Consider the following 26,917-nt stretch of genomic DNA (forward strand, 5'->3'; position numbering starts at 1 on the left):
CGCTGCTTCTATTCCTGTCTGGGGCATGTCTGAAGTGGGCTGGCTGTCTTGACTGGCTTGGATCCTTATCAGTCTGGTGTTGCAGAAGAGAGAATGGATGGAATATTCCACGTGGTCTCACTTTCCTTTCTGAACCACCCTTGCTGAAGCCCGGGTCTGTGTGTGCTCAGAGATCCATTTGCCCCAGGCTAGGAGCACAGCACTCCCCACACCCAGTTCTTGCCAGGGGTGTTTTCTCTCTTCCCTTCTCCAAGTCAGTTTAGTGTCTTCCCACATACCCTCCTCGGCCTCCTGCCCCCAAGAGGTCACCCCTCACGCCCTTCCAAAGCAGGGTTGGCTGAGTCCCTGGTGCTGACAGAAGAGCCCAGGACTCCAGCCCAGGCTGTGACCTCAGATGGTGTCTTCCCAGAGGAGAGGAGGGAACTGGAGATGGTGGTGATGGGTTTGGGGTGCCAGGGTTGGGTAGCTGGGAGGTAGGAAGAAAGGACCCCAACATGGCTCTAGAGAAGGAAGAAGTGCACTTGCCCCCATCTCACAGCCCAGATCCTTCTCTGTATGCAGAGAAGTGTTACCTTCTGGGAGCTGCCACGGTTCAGCCTAGCTTCTGGTCACTGTTCTTTAATCCTCTGTATCTGGAAAATACTCCAGTTGTAGATCTATGGAAGGACATACGAAGGTGATGGGTGGACCCGGAGGGCCGCCCTGACTGTTATGGCTTACTAGGGTAACAGTGCCGATGATGGTTAGCACTCAGCCAGGGCTGCTGCATCTCCGTCCCGTTCTTTGATCACAAAACATGCAGTGTGAAATCACACGGGGTGTTGTACGCCGGGGTTGCTACCACCTACTTGAGCATTCAGCGCTTAGGACCACGGGAAACCAAACCAGGAGGGTTTTCCTGGGCACCCTCCACCCGACACCAGCCCTAGGGGCTGCCCTGACTCTAATGACCTGCCCCTCTCCTGGAACTCCCCTTCCATCCTGCACCGCCCCAGGGAGTGCTTGACTGCCTTGCAGCTCATCAAACCCTGCTTTAACAGGGTGGGGGAGGGGGGCTCAGGAGTCCTTTGCTTTTTTCTCTTTGCCACTTGCCAAATTCTGAAATCAAGTTGAGCAAGCCCACCCACTTCAGGCCTCACTGAGTCCCGTCTTTCATTCCTGGGTTAGAGAAACACTGCCCGCAAGGACAGATCTGTGGAAACACTAGGTCCCTGTGACTCAGGTGCCGGAGGATGCAGTGTCAGCAGATGCTGACGAGATCAGTCCTGCAGGAGCATCTTTACGACAGAACATGTTATTTTCCATAAGTGGCCTGTTTAATGATCAAATCAGTCAAATAGCTGTGCTGGTAGGACTTGGGGTTAAAAATGAGGCCTAATTGCAGCTTTTTTCTCCAGCACCAATTCATGAGAATGCCTGCTCGCTGACCCCAGGTGACTGGGCCTCCCACAAATGGGTGTTTTGGGTCACAAAGGGGGCAGGGTCAAATCCCTCAGGCAAAGAGTGACTGAGGTGTATGACTCACTGACCAGGCCGGGACTGCACGGCATTCGTTCACTAAAGAAGCCTGCTGTGTGCCAGGCATCATGCTCAGATGCTGCCCGAGACACAGCCCCTACCCGAAGAGCTCAAGGACCTTTATGGAAAATCATTTTGATACACACAGGGCTTGGGACCATCTATGTGTTCAACTCTTTAAAAAATGGTTCCCAGCCCCAGTTCTCTTAGCAAGGCTTTCTAATTCATTATCTCATTTAATCTCGCCATGAGTCAGGCAGGGCAGTAACACATGGGAAAGGAGGGTGGGGGTGGGGATAGTGTGACCTGTCCACCAGGTCCTGCTACAAATTGACAGCAGATCCCAGGCCTCGTGTTAGCCCAAGCTGCTTCTACTGTCACATTGCAGCCTTCTGCAAGGATGGGGTGGTACTGTCCTTCTCACTTCTCATTCTCTTCCATTTTAAAATGATAAACCTGGGTCAGAGGATATTTAGGAAGAGGCATTGTCATTAAGTCCAAGACAAGATGGTCAGATTTGTTATCCTAGTGGGTTACAATCCAAAATACTCTGGAGCATGCTGAGATTAAGGTGGTTGCCAAGGGAACAGAAAACAGCCATGAGTAAATAAATCAAGACTTTAAAGGATTTAGATCGGGTCTATGGCCAGGTAAGTGCAGACCTTTGTATTCTTTCCAAGGCCAGGTAAGTGCAGGTCTGCAGTGGGGATCTGTGGCCACGTGGTCACAGATGTGGAAACATCCTGCAAATGCAGCCACGCTGCTTCGTACAGGCGGTGCAGTGGCTGGCATGGGGAGCCAGGTGAGCTTGGTGATGTTGGGGCTTCTGGAACTGCCTGCATCATCCTTGTATTTCTTTGTTAGGAGCAAGTCTGGACCTAAGAAAGATGGTGTAGGTTCTCGGAAAATGGTTGTTTTTTGGCAAGGGACACGAGCTTCAAGTCGTCCGGTAAGGCAGTCGGCCTCATTGAGAGGGTTTGGTGTCCCACTGCCCAGTCCCGGGGAGCTGCCTGACGGAGGGTAGACTGCAGTGACCAGAGGCAGCCGCTCAGCCATGCAATAGCACAGGCCGAGGGAGAGGGCAGGCCCCTCGTGGACTTGGCAGAGAGAAATGGGTGGGAGTGGGGGATGTGAAACCTTTTGTTACTTTTTAGTGGTTTGAATTTAGTAAAGAAATATCTTTGACCTTTAGGCAGCAGGAGGAGTATTGGGGCCAAAAACAGTGTGTTCTCACATATCACTGTTCTTCCTGCATTGTGGCAGGGGCAGTGAGAGAGGGAAATGAATGGACTCCCTTAAGTTATCCCTTAGGCTAAAAAGAGAACAGCCTCTTTTGGGTTGACTGGATTTGGAGGAGGTGTCCTAAACAGGCTGTTCAACAGGGGACTTTTTGTGATGATGACAGCGCTCTATTTCTGTGCTGTCCAGACTATAGCCACTAGCCACATATGGCTATTGAGTATTTAAATGTGGCTTGTACGGCTGAGGAACTGAACTTTATTCAATTTTAATTCATTTAAATAGCCCCACGTAGCTACTGGGCATAACAGCCCCAGGGATGATAGGATGACACTCCTATTGATAAGAAGCTAGAAACATTGTTTCTTTTCCCTTCACCTTCTCCCCTCTGCTCACCACCTCCGGGAGAGCCAGATAGTTCTGGGGTTCAATTCTGGCTTTGTCATTTAAACCATAGGTCCTTGGGCAAGTAACTTATGTAAAGCATGCAGTATAGTGCCTGGCACACAGCAAGCACTCAATAAATGGTAGCTATTGTTGTTTTAATAAACTTGAATGGTTACTTGCAGAGCAATTGTGCCCATGGAAAGGGAAAAAAGGGTTTTTCCCTTGCTTAGCTTAACCCACATAAAGAATTAACCATCTCCAGTGTGAAGCAGGCCTGCTGCAAGTTTAAGGGTTTGAATTGATGTCATAGGTCACATCCTGGGTTTTAATTCCAAGGAAAGAGAACTTTGGAGCAGATGAGGCCTCACGCTGAGCCTCACATCTCCATCCAGGCCTCTGCAGAGCAACTCAGCCCTCACAGGGCAGCAGCTTTGCCTGCACCTCCTCATTCCTTGCATTGCATCAGCTCTCCTCCTCCTCCAAACCCTTGGGGGCCATCTTTTCTCTCTGCGCCGCCTGAGCTATTAGATGTAGCTTGCAGAGGAGCATACCTTCATTCAACAGACATCGACTGAGGACCTATTGTATGCTGGACACGTGGGACAAAGAGACGCTAAAATAGTCCCTGCCCTTTGAAGTTCATAACCTGGTGGGGAAAACAAAAGTGTGCTAAATTCCAAATCTGGGATCAGCATAAGGTGCTTTGGAGAGAGGGATCAGACTGCTGTCCAGTCCTGGGAGATGGGAGATGGGAGAGGCTTGTCAAGGGGGAGGTGGTTGCCCTGCTGAGTGAGGAAGCCCTAGGGACGCAGCCCTACAGGAGGAGCTGGAGGATGCGGGGAGCAGGGTCTGGAGCTGCCCCGAGGAGGCCCATGGGGTGATCTGTTTGTCCACCTGTTGTGCCCCAGGGTGACTACAGTGCAGAGTCTGGGACAGGGTTCACCTGAGCTACACGTTTACCCATGGTCTACAGGAGCCACGAGCAACACATCTACCCACACGGGAGCCATGGTCTGCTGTTCTCCAGGACGCCTTGGTTGTGGGCAGTCCAGGCCTTTGTTAGGGTCCAGAGTCCAGCTGCCATATGGATCTGTCAGAATAGTGGTGATCCCTGTGCCAGCCACTGCGCTGCCTGTATGAGGAAGCATGAAGCAGGGCTGTGTTTGCAGGGTGTTTCCATATTGGCACTCTATCGTGCTTGCCGCAGCACCTAAGAATGGGATGAGGGGGAACCTTGGGGGAGACAGGGGAGGTGGGTGTATGTGCACGAAACTAGAGAAGTGAAGTGCCTGAGCTCAAACCACCGTGGCAGAGCAGAGAATGGAGGCCTCTGGGAGCCCTTGGGCCTTGGCTTCCCCGCTGAGACAGGGCAGGTTTGAGGTGGTACTGCCCGTGTCTGTGTCCACCCCCATCCCCTAGCCGTGTTCTTTTCCTTTCTATTTTGGTTCAGCTTACCTAGAAATGCTGCTAAAAATATGGGAGACATCCTCAGGCATATTATTGATTTTGCTTTTGAAAAACATGGTGTTCACCGAGTGTCCCCATTTCTCTTATGGTCTGCAGAGGAGATGAACACTGGGGGCTCTGGCAGGTGACAGCAGGGGCTGGAAAGCTGGGCAGTGTTGATGTGCTCCGAGTGGAGGCACGGGTGGGGTTGGTCATCAGCACCTGGGGTGCTGGTGTCACTGCATGAGAACTCAACATCTGTCCTATGGACTAGTTTCTTTGTCTTCCTAGTATTCCCTTCCCGTTGTCTCTGTTTAAAATGCCAATTTCCGTGGGACGTGGAACTCCTAAAGTCCCACATCCAGCAGTGAGGTGTCTCCAGGAGCAGTGAAGGGATGGGGTGGGGGTTGGGGTAGGAGTGGATTCTCCAGAGGCCACAAGCCAGACGGGTGGGGCCTGGTGGGGCAGACTGGTCCTCCAAGCGAGCTGTGAAAGCAGGCAGGCCTGACCTCCAGGCCTGGTGTTGGGAGGAAGGGGCTGATTTTACAGCCTGGGGTCTCCCACCTGGAATTCTTCAGTTCCCAGGCTCCAGAAGGCACAGTGGGCACCTGCAGAGCTGCAGAGAGGACCCTCATGGTATCGGGAGGCCCGCATCTCTCAATGCCCTCCATCAGGCACAGCGCCACCCCAACCACCACATCCATTGTCTGCTGCAAGGATCCCTGCCTGGGCCTTGGAGAGAGAGTCGCGTTTCTCCACCTGGCAGCTACAGAGAGGCCACAGAGAAAAAAGCCTATTTAATGTTCTTCTACTACTTGTGACTTTTAAAATAACTTTTCCTCTCAGGCCTCTGTTTTTTTGTCTGTCAAATGTACACCCTCAGGCACGTTCTCACTGGGGCCCAGGTTTTTACTTCCCTGTCGTCACACACTATTTATGTCTGAGGGTCTCAGTCCCAGGGCGGTGCAGTGGAACACAAGCTGGGCCACGGTGCTGGGTCACGGTGCCGTGTTCCCGTCTGTGCTCTGCTACTTAGAGCTGTGAGTGTTGGAGGAAGCCACTCTGTGTTTCAATTTTATTTTCCCGTCTATAAAATGGGATAAAACCCACACAAGGTAGGGTGCACATGGTTATTGGAAGGTTCCCACGAGATCATAACATGGAAAAGGGCTTTGTAAAAGGCAAAGTTATGTCCGAGTAAGGGACATTATCATTAAATGGCAGCTGGAAGCTGTAATTTGGTTCTGCCCTCTCACGCCCGCTGCTACTCCAGACGTCGTAAGTTGCTCTTTTATGGGATATCTCTGGCTTGACTGCGGGTTCCGTTCTGAGGAGGTGGGGTCAGCAGGGGCCTGATGTCTTCTTCCTTTCCCTCTGGTCACTCTAGTGATATAACCCAGGCCATATAGTCAGGCAGACTTTGGCGAAACTGTCAGCGAGGGCAGCTCCTCGATTCGGCCCCTTTGACTATTGTCTCCAGTCCTGAAACCCTCGCCCAGGGCCGCTCCGCCGCCGGGCTCCGGCGCTCAGCCCATGTCACCCGGGGAAAGGCCGGCGCCTCCGTCCGACCCTCTTTCCTGTCGCTGGGGGCGGTTTGTGGGCCTGGCCTTGGGATTAGGAAAATAGGGATGGTGCTATAACGGCCGAATGCAGGCCTCAGGGAATCCCGAAAGGGGGAATGTCTGGGTCGGCGGATCGGGGGGCTTGAGAGGGCCCGCTCCGTGGGACGTTCAGGCCCCGGAACCGGCCCCCGCATGGTCGCCGCTCCGGCCCGGGCGGGCGCAGCGCTGGCAGCCCCGTTTTCCGCCAGCCGGGCTGCCGGAGAGTTAGACCTCCCAGCCTCACGGGGCTGCTGTGCGGCTGCGACGACGCCGGCGACTGCGGCGCTGCAGCGGAGACGGAAGGCTCGGGAGGCGGCGCCATGTGAGTGCGCGCGGGGCCGCGCTGGGGCCGCGGCGGGAGGTTACCGTATTTACCGAGGCCAGAGCCGGACCCTCGGGGGCGGGTCACTGCGGGCGTGCTACCGTATTTGCCGGGTCCCGCGCAGGTCCTTTCCGGGAGTGGGAGCGCCGGGACTTAATTACGTATTTATCCAGGGTTGCGTGGCTCCGCGGGGGGGCGCTGCGGCCGTGGGGGGTGGGCTGCATTCATTCCCTCTGGGAGCTGGGGCTTGCAGTCGGGCGGGGTGGGTTGCGGCAGCAGGGTGGAGGCCTACGTATTTTCGTGGGGGTGGGGTTGCGACGCAGAGTTTACCATATTTCTCCAGGGTTGCTCCGGCCGCAGAAGTTGGCAAGGTTGTGTGTAAGGTCGGGTGGGGTGGGGTCAGCTCTCCCGATTAATGCAGCTATTTGATAAGAGCAACGTCGCGGGACGCTTGCCGTCTTTATGGGGGCGGGGAGAAGGGGCGCGGGTGTCGCTGCGGGAGAGTTACCGTATTTGCGTTGAGCAGCGCAGACTGTAGAGCAAAGAGCTGCGGCCGGAGACCGGAGGAGCAGGGGCTCAGCTGGGCTGTGAGTGTGGCATGGGAGGAAAGAACTTGGGGGAGAGACGGGGGGCCTTTCGGCGTGCAGGCGGGGCCTCAGTCAGGGGTATAGCTGGGGAGAGTGAGGAGGCTGCCCAGTCACAGGGCCGGGCTGAGATTGGCCAAGGGGACTTTGATGATCTGTCTTTGCAGATGTCAGTGCAGCTGCCTGTGGAAAAGACTTGTGGGTGGGGTCTCTTGCAAGTAGGACTTGTCTCCTTCCCCAGGGTCAGTTCCACCCCGGCCTCGAGGGTACGGAAGACAGAGGAGGTGGCCCTGAGACCCCACTCTGCAGATAGGTTGACTGAGGCTGGAAGTGAAGAGAGGCCTTCGGGGAGGTCCAGTGGAATATTCAGCCGGCTTCCCTGATGGGGTTGGGGAGAATGGATGAGGCAGGCCTTAGGGCCCTGCAGGAGCCCAAGTTTTGGTGGGGGTCGTGGGAGTGGTGGCAGTAGACAGTGCATCTACAGGAGAAGTGGCCCTTTGGAATGCATGGCTCTGTGACGGCTGGGATGGTGGCAGTGGGGGGTGTGTGTGTGTTTTGAGGAGTGTTTAGTTGTTGAGCAGCTAGTACATTGAAAAGAGCTTTCAACAGTGAGACAGGAGACTTAAGGCCTAGTCCAGGCTCACCTTGCTCTGTGACCTTGGCAAGTATGTTGACCTCACTGAGCCTCAGTTTCCCCATCTTTAAAGTGGGGCTCAATAACCCTGCTCCGCCCCTTTCTCAGGGCTGTTGTGAGGACAATGGGAAACAATTTAAGAGGAACACAGTGTCCTGGGAAGAGGATCCTTTGGAGAAGCAGCATGAAGGGAGCTGGGTTTGGGGGTGTTGGCTGGGCACTGAGGGTGCTGCTCAGCCTTGGGCCAGGCTTTGCTGTGAGGATACCAAGAGGAATCACGCTGAGACCAGTCCCCCTGGGAGCCCACACCCTGGTTCAGTGACTTGGAAACCTTTTGAACACATGCCTCATTTTGATAAACAAAGAGCTGCCGCCTTTAATGTTTAACCGAGGTCACTTTCAAGTTTACAGGGTTGTGTTTTTTTTCCTGTTTTAAGCTTCACAAAAATATCTTTAAATCACTGATAATGCCACCCTTTTCTCCAAGTTTGGGGTGCACTTCCCTACCTCCCCCTGTCCTTGAGATCTGGTTGGAGGGATAAGACATATCTAGACGAAGGTAACTGAAAATCCTAGCTGAAACTGAAACTGAAAATCCTAACTGAAACTCATCACCATCTGTCTAGTGTCTTGTGTGGCTGGCTGGCATGGTGCTAGGTGCTGGGGTTGAAAGAAGGCAGCTCTGTCCTTAGGGTGCTGGGAGTCGGGGGACAGAGGTGGCATGACTGACCCTCGTGCAGTATGATCAGTGAGAGCCACATGGTTGTGTCACACGGTGTTTAAGCCCGGGGTGGAAAGGTCAGGGAAGGCTTCTAGGAGAAGGTGCCCTTGGGAAGGGACTGGAAGGAGTGTAGGCCGTGCTTAAAAGGCAGTGGAGGAAGAGGAACACCAATTCCCAGCAGGGGAACTTGAGCTTGAACAAAACGGGGCGAAAGGTGGAGGTTGTGGGAGGTGAGTGTCCCTGCCAGGCTGGGGGTTGGCTAACCCTCGTGTTCCCCGACCCCTCTCTCTCCACCCCCCACCCCCGCCCCCGCTTCTGTCTCCCTAGGGACTGGTGATTGCAGCTGGAAGTGCCCATGACCGAGCTGGCGTCCTCCGGGGGCGGGTCCCCTGCGGGGGACGGGGAGGAGGGTCTGGGGGACGAGCGAGGCCTGGTCATCCACCACCCTGCAGAGGAGCAGCCCTACCGCTGCCCGCTGTGCGGCCAGACCTTCTCGCAGCAGCCCAGCCTGGTGCGGCACCAGAAGGCGCACGCCGGAGCGGGCCGCGCGGCTGCCTTCGTGTGTCCCGAGTGCGGCAAGGCCTTCAGCGTCAAGCACAACCTCGAGGTGCACCAGCGCACGCACACCGGGGAGCGGCCCTTCCCCTGCCCCGAGTGCGGCCGCTGCTTCAGCCTCAAGCAGAACCTGCTCACGCACCAGCGCATCCACAGCGGCGAGAAGCCGCACCAGTGCGCGCAGTGCGGCCGCTGCTTCCGCGAGCCGCGCTTCCTGCTCAACCACCAGCGCACCCACGCGCGCATGCCCGCGCCGCACCCGCGCCGCCCCGGCGTCTTCGGGGAGCGGCGGCCCTACTTCTGCCCCCGCTGCGGCAAGAGCTTCGCGCGCGAGGGCTCGCTCAAGACCCATCAGCGCAGCCACGGCCACGGGCCCGAGGGCCAGGCGGCCCACTTAGGACGCGTGCTATGATGCGCCCGGGGCCTGCTGCCGACGGCTGCTTCCCGCCCCGCACGTGCGTCCCCGACCCCTGGAGATGGCCCTGGGCCGCAGCTCCCTCTCTAGATGGGATCCCGGGAGAGGGGCAGCGCTGGCTTGGGCTCTTGAAGGTGTGGGCCGCCGCCAGGCTCCGGCCGCCCGCTCGCGTTCCTCCCTCGGGACCCTCTGGCTGGCTGCGCACAGCTGCTTCCGGCTCCTGCCATGGTTCTCCTTCTCTGGCCCATCCGGCCTAGAGCAGGTGAGACCTGCGGGGCTGGCCAGAGCCCCTCTCAGGGCTGGGAGTGGTGGGGGTGGAGTGCGTGGTGTTGATTCTTGATGGCAGGTGGGGCGGTCTGGGTACCGGGCTGTAGGTTTCTCTGTGATGAGCTGCTTACCGGATCTTCATCCCCAGAATGTCAGAGTTGAAAGAGACTTGGAGAGGCCACTTTCCACAAACCCCACGCCCAACCTCAGCCCCTAGGCCTCCTGGCTCCTGTACACACTCTCTGCTGTCCTTGAGATGTCATTTCACTTCATGTTTCAGTTTACTCATCTGTAAGTTGGGGATATAGATGAGGGACTCTTCCTCGCTGGGATATATTGCAGCTACTGGATGAGAGAGGGTGAGGTCACTGGTGCACAGAGCCTTAGTTGATTCTGCCACACCATGTGCCACTGACTGTGCCGGGCTGGGCTCTCCCAGAGACACACATGAGGACCGCAGGCCCTGACACGGGGTGCTCACACTCGGTGTGTGACGCGGGGCCAACCTACAAAGTGCTCTGGGGTGAGACCGAGGAGGGTGACTGGTTTCTCTTCGTCACCCAGGGGAGTTTGATGGCTTTGAACCAGGTCATGGGGACAAATAAAATTGTTCTAGGAAGAGCAAGTGTGTAGAAGGGTGTTTTCAAGGGAGGGGGGGTCCTGATAGTTCAGTGACTGTCTCCAGGTGTCCCAAGGGGAGGTTTGCCCTACAAAGGACTTCGTGGTCAGGGGGTGGGGACACTGAGATTTTTAATGAGATGAGTGCTATGATCTCAGACTTATGCTTTAGGAGGAGAATCAGAGGCACTGTGAGGACAGACTGATGTGGGAAGAGCTGGAGCCTCGAGGGGCTTGGGTCATCTGGGCAAGAGAACATAAGGCCCCCAGCTAAGAGGCCTGGCCAAGGTCTGGCAGTGAGAAAGGGGGCAGCCAGGACTCTGCTCCAGGACCTCTGGTTCCAAGCTGGCGCTCTGAGGCACGGGCCTCTTCAGCCTTTTGGCAGATGAGGAAACAGGTTTGCCAAGCTTGCCTACACCACAGTTGGTACTTAGGGGTACAACAGGTGGAAGCCAGGGCTTTGTTTTGGATTCTGAATCCCAGAACCTTTTAGCTTCACTGCTTAAAAAGTGGACGATGGAGCAGGGAGGATTTGGGGCCATGTGATAGGAGCTGGGGCAGGGGTGTTAGGGGTGGTACGGGTGTTTGAAGGGGACATGGCATCCCTGGGAGTGGTTTGGGAGGAAGGGAGCTGGGGCTTCGAGGGGACCTGCACATTCAGTCCTGTGCTGGGTGCTGGAGACTCGTCCCTCCCCACTGCCCCCTCTGCCCATCCTCAGTGCTATGTGGCTATGGCTCCTCGGAGACTGTCCTCTGCCTACCACTCCCAGGTGCTGTAGACTAGCATTGGTGGCAAAGATGAAATTAAACAGGGGCTTCGGACACCTGGAGTCAGTCACCAAAATGCCCTGAACCCAAGGTGTCTCATCTGTAAATGGGATTCGTAATCCTTGCAGTGCTTGGTAGGGGACAAAGAGGATTCATTCAAACCCTAGGACAGATTCAGGGTAGGCCAGCTGATCGCTCCCTCCTAGCCCCAGAGGGGTGGCTGGGCAGGGCCATGTCACGGCTCCACACCTGATCCTGATCTCTTTGTTTCTGTCGACAGTTGCAGAGTGGGCAGGATCTTAAGACCCGATAGGTGCAGAACCCATCTGGACACGGAGACCAGGAATGGAGTTCCATGGAGGCCTGGCTGGCACTGCACCCGGGCATGAGGACACATCCAGTAAGAAGACCTGCCTCAAGAGGTGCACTGCGGTGACCAGTGGAGGTGACTGGTTGGAGCCTGGAATTGGAAGCAGATTCCAAGCTCTGGTGGACAAACTCTCCAGGCCTGGTGGGAATCACAGCTGGGGCAGACCTCATCCTGGCTGCCTGGCCACAGGCCCCCACTCTCTGCCACTGGTGGTAGGACGATGCCTGTGTGGAGAGCTGGCTTCTCTGCTCCCGCCTGGTCCACCACTTGGCTAGAGTTCAGAGACAGGAAGTGATTGGTCTAAGCTAACACAGCAAGTTGGTGGCAGACCTGGTTCTAGAGGCAAAACCTTCTTCCAGATGTGAATGAAACCTGCAGGCTTCATTTTCCTTTCTGAGCAGTGCTTCTTAGCTCTTTGGAGACACGAAGCCCTTGGAAAATCTGATGAAGGTTACGGACCTTCCCTAGGAAAACAGATAACTGACGTAGACTCAAAAACCCCAAGCAATTTCAGGAGCCACTGGACTCCCTGAATGAAACCCATCCCTGGACTCCAGGCTAAGAACCTCAGCCCTGGGGACTTCACCTGCTGCCCTTTCCTTACCTGTCACACATTGAGCCCCGAGTCAAGGCCACTGTACAAGTAGTGCCCCTCCCTCCCCCTGGCCAAGCCTCCTTCCCTTGTTCAGGAATAAAGAATTCCGAGGAGCCCTTTTTAGTCATTCCCTTCTCCCAGACCTAACGAATGGTGCGTCAGGTTTCTGGAGCCTCATTTCCCTTCCCCAGACATTGGCAGAGGTCCCTTGGGCTAGATTTTCTCTTCTGGTTTTGTTTCTTGTTCTGCCTGACTGGCCGCTGGCTTCCACAAAGGAGCCCTTTGCTCCTGGCCTGGGCTCTGATTTCACTGTGTGGTCTCAGGGGAAGCTGGACTGCTGTGGACGCTGGTGGGAGCTTGAGTCTGGTCTGAGTCTGCCCCAGGGAGAAAGAATCCTGCTTCCACCAACCAAGCCCAGTCAGCGGTTCCTCCCAGCTGGCCAAGTGTTCAGCCCAGTGGGCTGGGGAGGAAGAGGATGAGGGCCTCGCTCCTGGTGCCTGTGGCTCTGGGCAGGGTGAGAGGTCGGTGGAGGATCTTTCTGTGTGTTCTCTGAGTATGCAGCAGTGCAGTTGAAGGGAACAGGGCCCAGGCAGGCAGCAGGGCAAGGACTCCTCCCATCTTCACACCTGAACCAGTCAGCCTGGAAGCTACAAGTTCTCACCTGCCTCCCCAGAATGAACATCAGAAAAGGCAAAACTGACCAGGGCTGGGATGGGTTTGGGTCAGCGTGGTTGGAGGGCAGCCTGTGGATCCCTGCACTGGAGTCTTGCTGTCTTCGATGCAGGTTGGATCATACATTGTTACCTCCTACTGTATGCCTCACCCTGGAATAGCAGAATGCTCAGGGGGAGATCCGAGAACGAGAAGGTGCTCCCAGCCCCAGGAGCTTCCAGTCTGGCTCTGATCCTTGGCCGACCTAGAGGAAACCTCCACACACGCCCCTTTTGTGCTAATGGTGCAGTTTGTGTCCCCCTCTGCCCATCACTGTGCTGTGCTTGTTCCTGCCTCTGTGCCTTCCCCTATACTGCTCGGACATGTCCCCTTTCCTCTCCTCTACCCAGCTAAGCCCTTCTGATCCACGGGGCCCGGCTTCCCAAACCACCCAGCCCACATTCCTCCTTCCTGCTCCGAACAGGTCCGGTGTGAGCCCCTGCCCCCGAACTGCGTGCTGTCCCATGGACGCTCCAGTCTCTTCCGTGTGTGTCTTGAGTCCCTAACTAGACAGTTAGCTCCCTGAGGGCAAGGGACTGTCATTTCCTCTTGAGTCCTACCAGGGTCTAGCACAGGACTGGGCTCCTAACTCTCAGGAAACACTTGTCGGCTGACTGGTGCCTCAAGCGCTGGAGCTTGTCGGTGGCCGGTAATGGGCAGTGCACGTGGGGAGAGGGTATGTGAGTTAACTCAAGGGTGCCTTTTCTTGGGCTGTGGGCTGGCTCCCCTGGGTCAAAAGTGGATGTCGGAGGCCTCAGGCTCTTACCTCCTTGGGGCAGTGGGAGCATCAGGGACCCCCACCCCCACCCCGGCTCTGCAGGAGTGCACGGAAGTGGTCGTCCAGCCTGGATATTTCTACAGGTTGCTGACTCCTGCGGGAGCTGACTGAGTGGAATAAATGTTCTCTCAACATCAGCTTGTGTAAGGAGTGGTCATTTGGGGCTTAGCGGGGAGCAGGGTGGTGGCCTCTGTCTCTGCCTCCATCATCTCTTGAGGAATTATGTTTCAAGGTTGCCTGGTGACCAAAGACCCTAGAAGACACACATCAGAGCCTCAGTGACGAGCTATTGTAGGCTTCTGGCACCTGCACAGTGACTGCCCTTTGCACCTGACTCACACATATAGGGGCTGCAGCCCTTGCTGCCTGCGCAGCCCACGGTGAGGCCAGACTTGCCGAGAAGCGTCGGACGGTTCCCTCAGTGCTTGAGCAGTGGACGGCTAAGAGTGCTTGAGTCGGGAGACCAGGCCCCTGTGCTGGTCTGTCTCCAATGGGAGGTCTCGGCCAGGCACATGCCTCTCCTGAGGTTAGTCCCCTTCCCTGCTCCTCTTCCTTATGGCGTTGTGAGAAGCAAACAAGTAGATATGGAAAGGACGCGAGTGCACAGCGTGGCACAGAGACTCTACCATTGCTCTTTGGGCCTCCCCACCGAGTAGGACCTGGCTGAAGACCACCTCTCGCAGAGCGCTCTGGACAGCTGACCTTCTGTCCTGCCCGCCGCCGGGTGGCCGTGAGACCTGGGTAAGTAACTTCCTTCCCGTCAATGGAATGCCTGGCTGGAGTGCGGTGGGCTCGCTTTGGCACCGTGACCCTGTGCTGCGTCGTCTGACTCTGACTTCTTCTATGGCCTCTGTCAGCCAGGAGGGTCCTGTGAGTAAGGAACTTAGGGACTGCACCTTTGAAACGTGGGTGGGTGATGTTGGGAGTGAATCAGGCAGGGTTCTGTGTTCAACTCAGATTTCAAAAAAGGAAATGATGAGCTCGTGTAAGTGAAAAGTACAGTGACTCGATGGTCACACGGACCCAGCCAGGAAGAAGCCGGCAGCTCAGCCTTCTGCCTGGCAGCTTCCAGTCCTTCTCTAATGGATCTGAGACAGCGGAGGGTCCTACTCTTGTTGGCCCGAATCGGGTCAGTGCCCGTTACTAGACCCGTCTCAGTGGCCAGGGGAGTGCAGGGTTCTGCAAGGCCTTGTCACACGCGCACCTATGGCCAAGGGGGCTCAGCTGCACCTAGAGTCCATGTGCTGGGAGTGGGAAGGTTTTGTTCAGCAGAGGAAAGCCAGAGATGAGAAGATGGGTGGATGGACTCCAGGCAGCAGACCCACACTCTTGCTATGGGGACTGGGTGGAGGTGGAGCAGGGAGAAGCCGGGCCAGCAGCGTTGGTGTCACCTGGGAGTTGTTAACGCACAATGGCAATTCCCACCCCAGACTCCAGTCAGAAACTGCATGTGCTCAAGATCCCAGGCGGACAGCATCTGCTGTCAGACCCAGCGCCACTTTGCCATTGCCCTCCAAGGAGGGCCTTTGACTCAGACATTCCATTGGCCTTGCTGCTTGCAGGGAGGACAATGACGGAGTTTCCTTTTAGGCGAGCTGGTAGAGACAAGAGGCTGCTGCCTTCCCCAGGGCCCAGATACTAGCCACCGCCACCCCCACCCTCCAGGACTGGCGCACACATCAGCGGGGCTCATCCTGACCTGGCCTGCCCAGCCTGGCTGTATAGGAATTTCCTGGAGTACAGACGCAGTACAGGAGGGAAACACTAAGGGAAGGGCCAGTCCTGGGCACAGAAGCAGGTGGCTCACACAGCATGGCTCCTCCACCCGCTGTCTGGGACCCTCCCCTGGTTCCCATCTCCACCCTCCTTAAGGCCTCCTTAGCTTTTTTTTTTTTTTTTTTTTTTGAGATGGAGTCTCACTTTGTCACCCAGGCTGGAGTGCAGTGGCACTATGTCAGCTCACTGCAACCTCTGCCTTCCGGGTTCAAGTGATTATCCTACCTCAGCCTCCCGAGTAGCTGGGATTACAGGTACATGCTACCACACCTGGCTAATTTTTGTACTTTCAGTAGAGATGGAGTTTTTCCATGTTAGTCAGGCTGGTCTCGAACTCCTGACCTCAGGTGATTCACCTACTTCTGCCTCCCAAAGTGCTGGGATTACAGGCGTGAGCCACAGTGCCCAAACCTCCTTAACATCTGAGCCTGACCTTTCTCATCATGCCCATGGTGGAGACACCTGCTGTGATGCTCTCAGAGCCCCAGCCCAGCCACCTTCCAGCGGTTGTGAGTGTGGGCCGCTGATGGCCTACAGCTGCCCAGCCTGGGGGCTGCCCCCTGGCAAATGACTGCCCACACAAAGGTATCAGACTGAAGCTGCTCTCCTGGGGGAACATTGCTGGCTTCTTTCTCTGCCCTGTGCTGCTTCCGGCCACTCTCCCTCTCTAGAACCCTTCCCTGACAATTCTCACCTTCCCTGCCTGAACAAGAATCCTTGTCTCAGGCTCTGCTTCTAGGATCCCCACCCTAAGGCAAGGTCTTTGAAGAACACAAGCTGAAGCATCTTGCACACAGTAGATCATGACCTGCCCCTTTCTTTGGCCTTTCTGTGTGACACTGGTTACCTCTGGGCCTTCAGTGAGCTGCTGCTGGATGAATGGACTGGAGGTGACCATCTCCTTGGTGAGAGGCCAGGCCAGAGGACCTAAATGCTGGTGACCCTCACCAGCTGTGCTGAAGCCCCTCTCCACTGGAAACAAGGGACAAGAGTCAAATTCACAGGTCAAGGGTTGGGGTCTAGTCTGACCACATGTCTTTGGCCAAGGTCCTTACCATCTCGAGGCTCAGTTTCTGATACATGAAATGAATGGGGTGGACTGGCCGACCTCAGGTTCTTCTTGGGTGCTTCCCCGACTGCTTGTGCAGGCCTCTTTTGGGTGGTGACCCCCCAGCTCGGCTGAGTGGCCAGGCCTCACGGGGCAGGCTGGAGAGGTCCCTGGGACGCTGCTCCTGCTCCTCTAGGCTTGCCACCATTCCTGTGACTCGGGTTTTGCTCTGCGCTAGGCTACCACCATCTCTGCTCTGTACAGACGCTTGGTGAACTGAAACTGGATTTTTTTTCTTTAAGCAGGAGAACTGCAGTTGCTAGCAGTTTCTAGCAGCAGACACAGAAAGTCACCTTGGAGCAGAACTTCTTTGTTTCTGGAAGGTCATCAGGCCCTTGCAGTTAAACCAACACTAAACAAATACACACTGCTACTCTTGCACTGGCCTTGGACTTGGAAAGCATCTCAAACACAGACACTTCAGGCTGGTGTGTTTGCTCTCCCGTTTCATAACAATCACTGTCAAAAGGCTGTTGTAAGGCAGAGCATCAGGGACAGGGGCCTCTGGGGTGTGGGAAGGACCTGAAAATCTCTCAGTGGGGAGGGGCTGAGCTGGTCCTTCCCCTGGCACATGGAAACCTGCTGGGGGATGACAGGGTCCCCTGAGATGGGGTTTAAAGCATGTGGGTTCAAGAGAATCTGAGTTTATAGGAGTAGTGAAAACTGTGTCCATGTGTGGGGCAAGAGAGTCTTCTGGAGAGGGTGACATGATGGTGCACAGGCGTTCTGAGAGGTGGGGGAGGGACTGGCTGATGGACAGAGGTGACAGCTTCCGCTGCACATGAGTGCTCTCAGAAATTACGGAGCAGGAGGAAGCGTATGGGGCTTCCAGAGGGAAAATGGACTACATATAGTCCCAGGGACTGCGGAGGATTCCGTCTTTATGACATCGTGAGAACCGTATTTCAGGCTGCCAAGGCGATGCACTGGCTGCTGCTTTTCCCACCTCTGGCCTGGTGCTCACTCATGGGGTCTGCTGTGCATGGCCAATGCCTGTTCTTCTCCTTTCTGCCACTGCTCTTGGCTTTAACAGGGTTCAGGACATGCCACCCCAAAATATAGCATCTTGGCATCAAGAAAATGGCAGAAGCAGGAAGGCCACGTTGCCCTTCCCCTCGCCTGTCTCCCCCGAAGCAGGCCATAGAAGAATTCTCGGATCTTCCTCTAAAGCAGGTCATAAGACCCTCATTCCAGAAGCATCCTCCCTATCCCTGGAGAAAAGGAGTGCCCTACAGAGACCCCAGGAAGAATCTGAACAAACAGGCTTTGCTAAGTCCCCCAGTTTATTAGCATAAGTCACACCCTCTTGTCCTCCAATCACACATCTGCACGACTGTGCATGAAGACAGTTTCTCCTGTTTCTTTGGGTCTTTATTTCTTTTTTTCTTTTTTTTTTTTTTGAGACGGAGTTTCACTGTTGTTGCCCAGGTTGGAGTGCAATGGCTCGATCTCAACTCACTGCAACCTCCGCCTCCTGGGTTCAAGCGATTCTCCTGCCTCAGCCTCCTGAGTAGCTGGGATTACAGGCGTGCGCCACCACGCCTGGCTACTTTTTTGTGTTTTTAATAGAGACGGGGTTTCACCATGTTGGCCAGGCTGGTCTTGAACTCCTGACCTCAGATGATCTGCCCACCTCGGCCTCCCAAAGTGCTGGGATTACAGGCGTGAGCCACCACGCCCGGCTGGGTCTTTATTTCTGAAGTTCCTGTGTCACATGAAATTTATATTAAATACATTTGTATGCTGTTCCCTTGTTGACCTGGCTTTTGTTACGGGGGTCTCAGCCATGAACCATTTTTTTTCTTTTTTAAGACAGAGTCTCACTCTGTCACCCAGGCTGGAGTGCAGTGGTGTGATCTCGGCTCACTGCAACCTCTGCCTCCTGGGTTCAAGTGATTCTCCTGCCTCAGCCTCCTGAGTAGCTGGGATTACAGGTGCCTGCCACCACGCCTGGCTAATTTTTGTATTCTTAGTAGAGGTGGGGTTTCACCATGTTGGCCAGGCTGGTCTCGAACTCCTGACCTCAAGTGATCCACCGCCTCAGCCTCCCACAGTGCTGGGATTACAGGCGTGGGCCACCGCACCTAGCAGCCGTGAACCTCTCCATAGGAATTGCCTTCTTCTTCCTCTAGCTTCCTCAGCACTCTGCTTTCTGCAGGTGCCTCTCCTTATGCCGCATGCGGACCCCGAGGGAGGTTGTACTGTGGTTGCTCACAGTCTTGTTTAGGGAATCTCTTAGGCAGAATCCTTTCTCCTGGCTCTGCTTGTGTCATCTGTGAGCCTCGAGGTGGCTTCCCTAGGCTGGGGCACATCCCCTGGTCCCATAGCTATGGCCCGAGTGACAGAGGTCCCAAGCATCAATCCCAGGGACTTATTCACAAGGGCATGGTGAGCGTTAGTCTCAGAGGGGGTGTCTATGGACAGGCCTGGGGTGCTCTCCGGCTTGCCTGGCTACTACTCTGTGGTTTCTCCCTGCTCAGAGCCCATACTTTGCCGTGCAAACTTGTCATTTGGTAAATTATCACGCATGCCCTGTGTTCCCTTTTCTCTCATTTTCTTGAGATTAGTTTCTCATGTGTTTTTGGCTTGATCTCCAATCAATGACAAATCATATTTGTGCAACATTTTCTGGTTCACTTTCACAGGTGTAACTTGAGGGCGTGGATGTGATCTTGCAGGCCCGAGGCTCCCAGTGTCTGACATGGGGAGCTCCCGATGAAGAGATGGCTGGCCTGGTTGCATGAAGGTTGTCTTGATGGGATTCTTGTTCTGGACATAGAGCTGGACCCTTGGACAACCAAAATATCACTTCTGGAGCTCCTGGGGTTCCATACTGCCTCCCCCTGGTGGGTAGGTATTTATAGTGAGTTCTCCCTCATGCCTGGAGAGTATTATAAAATGGGACTGTTTTCTTGGCCATTGTCGGAGCATATTCAGGACATTTTACAATAAGAGAAAATCAAGAAACAGGGCCAGTTAATATGGCGGTGCTATTTTAGGCAATAAGGCAAGTCGCAACAGATACTACACATCACTGGTAGGTCACATTCTGTGAACGCAATGCAATAGAAGTCATTCACAAAAGACAGCAAATGAAAACTTGTATACATTCAGGGTTTTTTTCTTTCTTTTTCTTTTCTTTTTTTTTTTTTTTTTTTGAGATAGGGTCTCACTCTGCCGCCCAGGCTGGAGTGGTATAGTGGTGTCATCATGGCTCACTGCAGCCCCAAACTCCTGGGCTCAAGGGATCCTCCTACCTCAGCCTCCCAAGTAGCTAAGACTACAGGCATGTGCCACTATGCCCGGCTAATTAAAACTTTTTTTTTTTTCCTGTAGAGACAGGTTCTCACTTTGTTGCCCAGGCTGGCACATTCAGGGATTTCAAAAACACATTTATTAATAATTCAAATCAAAGAAAAAATTGTGATGGAAATAATGAAATATTTATGAATTAATGACTACTGTGAAATGCTACACTTCAAAACTTGTGGATACAACTGAAATCAACTAGAGGAAATGTTTAGCTTTAAATGTATTCATCAGAAAAGAAGACGTTTTGAAAATCAAAAAGTCAAGAGTTCAATTTAAGGCCAGGCATGGTGGGATGGTTCACACCTGTAATCCCAGCACTTCGGGAGGCCAAGGCAGGAGGATTGCTTGAATCCAGGAGTTTGAGACCAGCCTGAGCAACGTAGCGAGATCCCATCTCTAAAAAAATTTTTTTTAAAATTAGCTGGGCATGGTGGCATGCACCTGTAGTCCTAGCTACTTGGAAGATCCCTTGAGCCCAGGAGTTCGAGGCTATGTTTGCACCACCTCACTCTGGCCTGGATGACAGAGTGAGATGCTGTCTCTTTAAAAAAAAATTCAACTTAAGAAGTTAGAAAAATAATGGAATATATAGCCAAAGAAGGAAAAAAATAAGGATAAAAATTAATGGACTACAAAACAAAAATAATATTAAAGAGACTCAGTAAAACCAAAACCCGTTCTTTGAAAAGACAAATAAAACAGACAAACCTCTGCAAAAAGTAAAAAAAAGAGAGAAGTCAGTCATAAACAATGCTAGGAATGAAAAGAAGATGATTACCATGGATACAATAGAGATTTTGAAAAATCATGATAAAATACTGTGAACAATTTATGACTATTTTACATTTATATGAAATGGATTATTTTCTAGAAAAATATAAATTACTAAAAGAAACTTAAACCAATCTGAATATACCTATAAGCATTAGAGTACCTGAATCAGTGGTCAAAAATATAACCTTCATTCCCTTAAGTTAATTAAGATAGGAGGCCCAGATAGTTTTACTGAGGAGGTTTGTCCACCTTTAATGAAAAGATAAGCTCTCACATACAAACAGTTCCAGCGAGTAGGGGGAAAAACACATCCAAACTCATTTAATGAGGTAGATTAGTAAAAGTTGAAGACGAAACCAGAGCAGAACAGCACCATGTAGAGAAATTTTCAGCCAGTCTCACTTAGGAACAGAATTGTACGAATCCAAAATAAAATATTAGCAGATTAAACCCAGAAATGTATTTAAAAGTATAGCATGGCTGGGCATGGTGGCTCACGCCTGTAATCCCAGCACATTGGGAGGCTGAAGAGGGCGGATCCCTTGAGGTCAGGAGTTGGAGACCAGCCTGGCTATCGTGGCGAAACCCTGTCTCTACTAAAAATACAAAAATTAGCTGGGCATGGTGGTGCGTGCTTGTAGTCCTAGCTACTTGGGAGGCTGAGGCAGGAGAATCGCTTGAACCTGGGAGGCGGAGGTTGCAGTGAGCCAAGATCGCGCCACTGTACTCCAGCCTGGGCAACAGAGCGACACCCTGTCTCAAAAAAAAAAAAAAAAAGAAAAAGTATAACATGACCAGGAAGGTGTTATCCCACAAATAAAAGGTTGATTCAACATCAGACAATCTATTAAAGAAATGTACCACTTCAGCAGATTAGTGGAGGAGAAAACATGATTATCTCAACAGATGAAAAAAAAGCATTTGCTCTCTATAATTTGATTCAATTTAATTAAAAGACAGAATCCAAAACAAAGAAAACAAAACAAAAACCAAACCACCCTCCTTTCCATGATTACCTCTGTTGTCTGCTCCCGTCCATTTCTCCCTTTCCTTGTCATACTGTATCTTTCCTGCTCTTCTTTTTCCTTTAGAAACTCACACACCGTCATGGGTAATGCCTTTGCCTTGTTACCTCTGCATGGAATATTCTGTTCTCAGAGCTTCCCAGGGCTCCCTCTTGTCACTTAGGTATCAACACAGCTGTCATCTTCTGGGGCCTTGCTCAGACCCATCTCTAACTAACCAGCCCTCTACTGCAAGTTGCCCAGTTTTATTTCCCCCTGAACATTGATGATGGACATTGCCTTGCTTATTTACATGTTTGCTTATTCAGGATCTCCCGCTTCAAACGTGAGTTGTCCAGGACAGTGGGACCCTGTCTCTCCACTGCCCAGAACAAAACTGGGCAACTTTCAGGTGCCAAGGAAATGTTTGCTCTATTAACTGGCTCTGTTTCCTTGGCCATTATGGGGTCTTCTCGGGAAATTTTATAATGTGAGCAAATCAAACCGATTAATTTTTCAAATGTACTGTAATATTTGGGACTACATTTAACAGCAAAGTTGATAGGTTGCACTTTGTAGACACGAGTTTCAGATTTATTGATTTTGATTTTGCAGTTTTCTTTTGGTATTTGGGGTTGAAAACAACCTTTAACCTTTTCATAATTTTACCAAACTCGTAAACTAGGCCCTTTGCCTGTCATCTCTAATGGAAAATGGACCTGTTTGGGGCAGTTATGCCATGTTTGTCTCTTTCTCTTTGTTTGTGCTTCCAATAAATGGAATTTATTTCATTTTAAAAGTGCGGGTTGTGTGAGATTCTTCATTTGTTAGACCGCGCGGGTAGGTAGAGAGGACCTAACGGCTTAGTATTCTCGGTGGTGCGCGGCTGCACCACTTTCACCGGTGCCGGGAGGAGAGCGGCGCCCTCTAGTGCACATTTTGAGATCTGACGTTGAGTGAATGGATGGATCCGCAGCCAGGGCTGTTTTCTCCAGTGCCCTTAGGGGCCGCATTGATGTTAGAATACAAGTCAGGGACCATGTAGGCGTCCAGTTAGTATTTGTCGAATGAATTAATGTCTAGAACCATGAACTTTTCGGACTGCCCTAAAGAAGTGAGTCCGAAAAGCAGAGTCATAAAAATAAATGGTCCTGTTAGAGATGAAAGGAAGGTTGACAGCTGAGATAGAGGAGATAAGAAGCTGGAAGGAATGCAGTTAGAAATGTGTTTCTTGGGCCGGGAGCGGTGGCTCTCGCCAGTAATCCCAGAACTTTGGGAGGCCGAGGCGGGTGCATTACCTGAGGTCGGGAGTTCGAGACCAACCTGACCAAAATGGAGAAACCCCCGTCTCTACTAAAAATACAAAAAATGAGCCGGGCTTGGTGGCGGGCGCCTGTAATTCCAGCTACTCAGGAGGCTGAAGCAGGAGAATTGCTTGAACCCAGGAGGAGGAGGTTTTAGTAAACCGAAATCGCGCCACTGCACTCCAGCCTGCACAACGCAGCAAGTCTCCGTCTAAAAAAAAAGAAAGAAAGAAAGAAAGAAATGTGTTTCTTTTCCGGTTTAAAGAGGACATAAGAAGAAAACGTAGGGTAACTTTCCAGCGAGAATTAGCCCAAAAGCCAGCAGTGGAAGCTTGCTCACTAAGACCTACAATATCGAACAGGCCGTGCATCGATCGGGTGAGACACCAACTCCCAGTCGACTGCAGGAGGAGAGAGGCCGCGTGGAGAGGCAGTGGGAAGCCGACGACGCCAGCTGAAAAGCCGCGGCTGCTTTCATCTGTAAGTACGTGTTTCAAATGTAGATGTTTACTGGGGAAATTTGAACGCCAATGGGATGTTTGATATTACAGGATTGTTAATTTTTATTTTATTTATTTATTTTTTTTGAGACAGAGACTCACTCTGTCACCCAGGCTGGAGTGCAATGGCGTGATCTCTGCTCACTACAAGCTCCGCCTCCTGGGTTCAAGCGATTCTCCCGCCTCAGCCTCCGGAGTAGCTGGTATTACAAGTGCCCACCAACATGCCCGGCTAATTTTTGTATTTTTAGTAGAGACGGGGTTGCACCATGTTGGCCAGGCTGTTCTTGAACTCCTGAGGTCAGGTGATCTGCCTGCCTCGGCCTCCCAAAGGGCGGGGATTACAGGTGTGAGCCACTGTGCCTGGCCAGGATTATTAATTTTTCTTAGTTATGATTATGTTGTGCTTATGAAATACGAGGACCCTTATCCTTCAGAGATACGTACTGAATGAAACGCTGTCTGGGATTTGCTTCAGAATCATCTGGGGTGTGGGTGAGGGTGGGGGTAGAGGTGAAACAGCACTGACTCTGTGTTGATAATTTCGAAGCGGGGGGTGATAGGGAAAGTTCATTACACTTTGCTGTACTATCATCATGTGCTAGAATTTTCCCGTGACAAGTTAATATATGTTTGTATATGATCTTTTTGTTCCTTTTGAAAATTTCTCTCCTAAGACTCCTAAAGAAGCAAATGTGTTGGGACGAGGAGAGGAAATGTTTTTGGTTGAATTGAAGTTTTTGTTTCGGGCTATTTCCTTTGGCTCAAGAGACCATGATGGCTGAGAAGGGGGAGGGGCTAACAGGACTGCTTGCTTAATTTATATAGGGGGTGATTTCAAAATAGTCCCTTCAAGACTGAGAAAGGCCTTAGCTGGGTGCGGTGGTGCTTGTAGTCCCAGCTACTTGGGAGGCTGAGATGAGAGGATCGCTTGAGCCCAGAAGTTTGAGGCTGCGGTGAGCTATGATCACATCCCTGCACTCCAGCTTGGGAGACAGAGTGAGACCTTGTCTCTTTTCACAAAAGAAAGATTGGGAAAGGCAAACTAATGAGACAACTGATCCAAATAATTGTTTGTGGTTGAATTGATGGGAGGATGAATCCACTTTTCTTTTATTCTTCTTTTTTCTTTTCTTCTTCACTGCCCCAGTCAAGGGAGAACGTACTTTTCTATATTCACTGGAAAATATGAAAAGTTTTCCAAATAATACTGAACAAATAGAATTGCATCAAACACCTCTTTGCTGTCCATTGGATAGTTGGTATGAAGCAACTTTTGTTAAAAAATAGACTTTATTTTTAGAGCAGTTTTAGGTTCAGAGCAAAATTGAGCAGAAAGTACAGCAATTTCTCATATACTCTCTATCCCCACAAGCATAGCCTCCCCCACTATCAGAGTGGTACACTTCACACAATCGATGAATCTGCACTGACACATCATTATCACCCTAAGTTCGTAGTTTCCATTAGGGCTCACCCTCGGCGTTGTATATTCTATGGGTTTGGACAAATGTATAATGACACGTATCCACTGTACAGTCTTTCCACTGCCCTAAAACTCCTCCGTGCTCCACCTATTTATCCCTCCTTCTACCGAAACCCCTGGGAACCACTGAAGTTTTTACTGTCTCCATGGTTTTGCCTTTTCCAGAATGTTCCAGAGTTGGAGTCATATGGTATGTAGCCTGTTTGGATTGGCTCCTTTCACTTCATAATATGCATTTAAAATTCCCCCATGTCGGCCGGGCGCGGTGGCTCACGCCTGTAATCCCAGCACTTTGGGAGGCCGAGGCGGGCGGATCACGAGGTCAGGAGATCGAGACCATCCCGGCTAAAACGGTGAAACCCCGTCTCTACTAAAAATACAAAAAATTAGCCGGGCGTGGTGGCGGGCGCCTGTAGTCCCAGCTACTTGGGAGGCTGAGGCAGGAGAATGGCGTGAACCCGGGAGGCGGAGCTTGCAGTGAGCCGAGATCCCGCCACTGCACTCCAGCCTGGGCGACAGAGCGAGACTCCGTCTCAAAAAAAAAAAAAAAAAAAAAATCCCCCATGTCTTTTCACAGCTTGACATGTGCAGTGTTTGACTCTCCAGAATGACAGTTCCAAATGGGAATGCTTTGATGGTCTTTGCTGTTGTTTTAAACTAAATGCTTTTAAAAGGAAAAATGATATAAATAATTTTTGAGAATTCCAGCTCTTTAAAATGACTGTTATCTTCACCTGATCTCTCAGCCGCTTGGATACTAAATTGGGGGTGCAGGTGGGGAATGCCCAGCTCATGCCAGCATTTCAGATGCTGATGCCCATCTGTAACAGAATCCTCTGAATTAAGGCTAAGTGACGGCTCTGCTGAATTTTTGGAAGTAATTTCTGTGTTTGCCTGAATTTGGAAAAATTCTGAGGGACACTAGAAATGACTAGAGGTTTTATGAAGACATGCAACATTAACAACAACTTCCAGTCGAGACTGGTCGTGGTTTCCAGGCAGATGTGGAATCCTCTGGGTCTTCTTTCTGGAAAAGGGTGGGTGAGGGGCAGATAAGACAAGATTGACCATGCACTGACAATTTTGAAGCTGGATGAGAGGTAACTAGGGGTTCCTTATGCCTTTCTTTCTTTTCTTTTTAAGGATTGTGGTAAAATACACATAACATAACATTTACCATCTGCTATGGTTTGAATGCTTGTGTGACCTCCCAAAATTCATGTTGAAACTTAATCCCCAATGCAACAGTATTAAGAAGTGGGGACTTTAGGAGGTGATTAAGTCCTGAGGGCAAAGCCCTCATGAATGGGATTAACAACCTTATAAAAGGGCTGGAGGGAACTAGCTAGGCCTCTTTTTGCGCTTCCATGTGGGGACGCATAAAGAAGGCGCCATCTTGGAAGCAGAGGGCAGCCCTCACCAGACACTGAATCTGTTGGCCCCTTGATCTTGGACTTTCCAGCCTTCAGAATGGGGAGAAAATTTCTGTTCTTTATGATTTTATAAGTTTTTGTTCTTTATAAATTACCCAGTCTCAGGTATTTTGTTATAGCAGCGCAAACAGACTCAGACATTACCGTGACCATGTTTGAGGGGATGGTTCAGCAGTGTTAAATATACTCATATTGTGGTGCAACCAATCTCCAGGACATTTTCATTTTGCAAAACTGAAATTCCACTCCCATTAAACAACAACTCCCCATTTTCCCCTCCCCACAGGTCCTTGCAACCACCATTCTACTTTCTATTTCTATGAATTTGACTACTCTAGATACCTCATATAAATAAAATCAGGTGGTATTTTTAATTTTGTGACTGGCTTATTTCACTTAGCATGATGTCCTCAAGGTTTATCCATGTTGTAGCACGTTGAGACTGGATTTCCTTCCCTTTAAGGCCTGCACAATATTCCATTGCGTATATATACCATATTCTGTTTATCCATTCATCTGTCAATGGACATTTGGGTTGCCTCTATGTTTTGGCTATTGTGAATAATGATGTTGTGGATATGAGTGTACAAATGCCTCTCGATATCCTTCTTTCAGTTATTTTAGATGTATACCCTTCATTACACTCCTCATTCTCCAGCTGGAATACAATTAGTTTTGTGATTTGTTTCCT

At 51.8% G+C, this 26,917-nt stretch overlaps 1 protein-coding gene and 1 long non-coding RNA gene across 17 annotated transcripts, besides 11 other annotated features; both read left to right on the plus strand.

Annotated features, from left to right (window-relative positions):
• Positions 389-976: an enhancer, noted in NCBI's record as "H3K27ac-H3K4me1 hESC enhancer chr7:150096281-150096868 (GRCh37/hg19 assembly coordinates)". NCBI's record gives its function as "activates a minimal SCP1, AML or CMV promoter by ChIP-STARR-seq in primed H9 embryonic stem cells {active_cell/tissue: H9 hESC(primed)}" and the evidence as "EXISTENCE:reporter gene assay evidence [ECO:0000049][PMID:30033119]".
• Positions 977-1,564: an enhancer, noted in NCBI's record as "H3K27ac-H3K4me1 hESC enhancer chr7:150096869-150097456 (GRCh37/hg19 assembly coordinates)". NCBI's record gives its function as "activates a minimal SCP1, AML or CMV promoter by ChIP-STARR-seq in primed H9 embryonic stem cells {active_cell/tissue: H9 hESC(primed)}" and the evidence as "EXISTENCE:reporter gene assay evidence [ECO:0000049][PMID:30033119]".
• Positions 1,895-2,419: an enhancer, noted in NCBI's record as "NANOG-H3K27ac-H3K4me1 hESC enhancer chr7:150097787-150098311 (GRCh37/hg19 assembly coordinates)". NCBI's record gives its function as "activates a minimal SCP1, AML or CMV promoter by ChIP-STARR-seq in primed H9 embryonic stem cells {active_cell/tissue: H9 hESC(primed)}" and the evidence as "EXISTENCE:reporter gene assay evidence [ECO:0000049][PMID:30033119]".
• Positions 1,898-13,666, plus strand: LOC728743 (zinc finger domain-containing protein LOC728743). Of its 16 annotated transcripts, XM_047420789.1 has the most exons (4): positions 6,872-7,100; positions 8,780-9,684; positions 9,838-9,980; positions 10,467-11,254. In XM_047420789.1, the coding sequence occupies exon 2, from the start codon at positions 8,808-8,810 to the stop codon at positions 9,417-9,419; it is 612 nt and encodes a 203-aa protein (XP_047276745.1). In that variant the 5' UTR covers positions 6,872-7,100; positions 8,780-8,807; the 3' UTR covers positions 9,420-9,684; positions 9,838-9,980; positions 10,467-11,254. The 16 variants fall into 16 exon arrangements, 12 of the variants coding, with proteins under 12 accessions (NP_001382903.1, XP_047276748.1, XP_047276743.1 ...); NM_001395974.1 differs by lacking the exons at positions 6,872-7,100; positions 9,838-9,980; positions 10,467-11,254 and adding exons at positions 6,383-6,513; positions 11,356-13,666; XM_047420792.1 differs by lacking the exons at positions 6,872-7,100; positions 9,838-9,980; positions 10,467-11,254 and adding exons at positions 6,383-6,513; positions 11,356-13,666 and having other exon boundaries at positions 8,780-9,059.
• Positions 2,420-2,943: an enhancer, noted in NCBI's record as "NANOG-H3K27ac-H3K4me1 hESC enhancer chr7:150098312-150098835 (GRCh37/hg19 assembly coordinates)". NCBI's record gives its function as "activates a minimal SCP1, AML or CMV promoter by ChIP-STARR-seq in primed H9 embryonic stem cells {active_cell/tissue: H9 hESC(primed)}" and the evidence as "EXISTENCE:reporter gene assay evidence [ECO:0000049][PMID:30033119]".
• Positions 2,950-3,625: an enhancer, noted in NCBI's record as "OCT4-NANOG-H3K27ac hESC enhancer chr7:150098842-150099517 (GRCh37/hg19 assembly coordinates)". NCBI's record gives its function as "activates a minimal SCP1, AML or CMV promoter by ChIP-STARR-seq in naive and primed H9 embryonic stem cells {active_cell/tissue: H9 hESC(naive and primed)}" and the evidence as "EXISTENCE:reporter gene assay evidence [ECO:0000049][PMID:30033119]".
• Positions 3,626-4,300: an enhancer, noted in NCBI's record as "OCT4-NANOG-H3K27ac-H3K4me1 hESC enhancer chr7:150099518-150100192 (GRCh37/hg19 assembly coordinates)". NCBI's record gives its function as "activates a minimal SCP1, AML or CMV promoter by ChIP-STARR-seq in naive H9 embryonic stem cells {active_cell/tissue: H9 hESC(naive)}" and the evidence as "EXISTENCE:reporter gene assay evidence [ECO:0000049][PMID:30033119]".
• Positions 4,301-4,975: an enhancer, noted in NCBI's record as "NANOG-H3K27ac-H3K4me1 hESC enhancer chr7:150100193-150100867 (GRCh37/hg19 assembly coordinates)". NCBI's record gives its function as "activates a minimal SCP1, AML or CMV promoter by ChIP-STARR-seq in naive H9 embryonic stem cells {active_cell/tissue: H9 hESC(naive)}" and the evidence as "EXISTENCE:reporter gene assay evidence [ECO:0000049][PMID:30033119]".
• Positions 6,175-6,634: a silencer, noted in NCBI's record as "silent region_18779". NCBI's record gives its function as "represses an Ori minimal core promoter by ATAC-STARR-seq in GM12878 lymphoblastoid cells {active_cell/tissue: GM12878}" and the evidence as "EXISTENCE:reporter gene assay evidence [ECO:0000049][PMID:35858748]".
• Positions 7,343-7,851: an enhancer, noted in NCBI's record as "H3K4me1 hESC enhancer chr7:150103235-150103743 (GRCh37/hg19 assembly coordinates)". NCBI's record gives its function as "activates a minimal SCP1, AML or CMV promoter by ChIP-STARR-seq in naive H9 embryonic stem cells {active_cell/tissue: H9 hESC(naive)}" and the evidence as "EXISTENCE:reporter gene assay evidence [ECO:0000049][PMID:30033119]".
• Positions 8,145-8,194: an enhancer, noted in NCBI's record as "active region_26828". NCBI's record gives its function as "activates an Ori minimal core promoter by ATAC-STARR-seq in GM12878 lymphoblastoid cells {active_cell/tissue: GM12878}" and the evidence as "EXISTENCE:reporter gene assay evidence [ECO:0000049][PMID:35858748]".
• Positions 13,667-16,532: 2,866 nt separating the features above from the next.
• On the plus strand, positions 16,533-22,302 carry LOC124901773 (uncharacterized). The gene is made up of 2 exons (XR_007060587.1): positions 16,533-16,841; positions 19,059-22,302. It is a non-coding gene; the product is annotated as an uncharacterized LOC124901773 (long non-coding RNA).
• Positions 22,282-22,341: a silencer, noted in NCBI's record as "silent region_18780". NCBI's record gives its function as "represses an Ori minimal core promoter by ATAC-STARR-seq in GM12878 lymphoblastoid cells {active_cell/tissue: GM12878}" and the evidence as "EXISTENCE:reporter gene assay evidence [ECO:0000049][PMID:35858748]".

Source organism: Homo sapiens, chromosome 7 (assembly GCF_000001405.40).
Source record: "Homo sapiens chromosome 7, GRCh38.p14 Primary Assembly".
Lineage (NCBI taxonomy): Eukaryota > Metazoa > Chordata > Mammalia > Primates > Hominidae > Homo > Homo sapiens.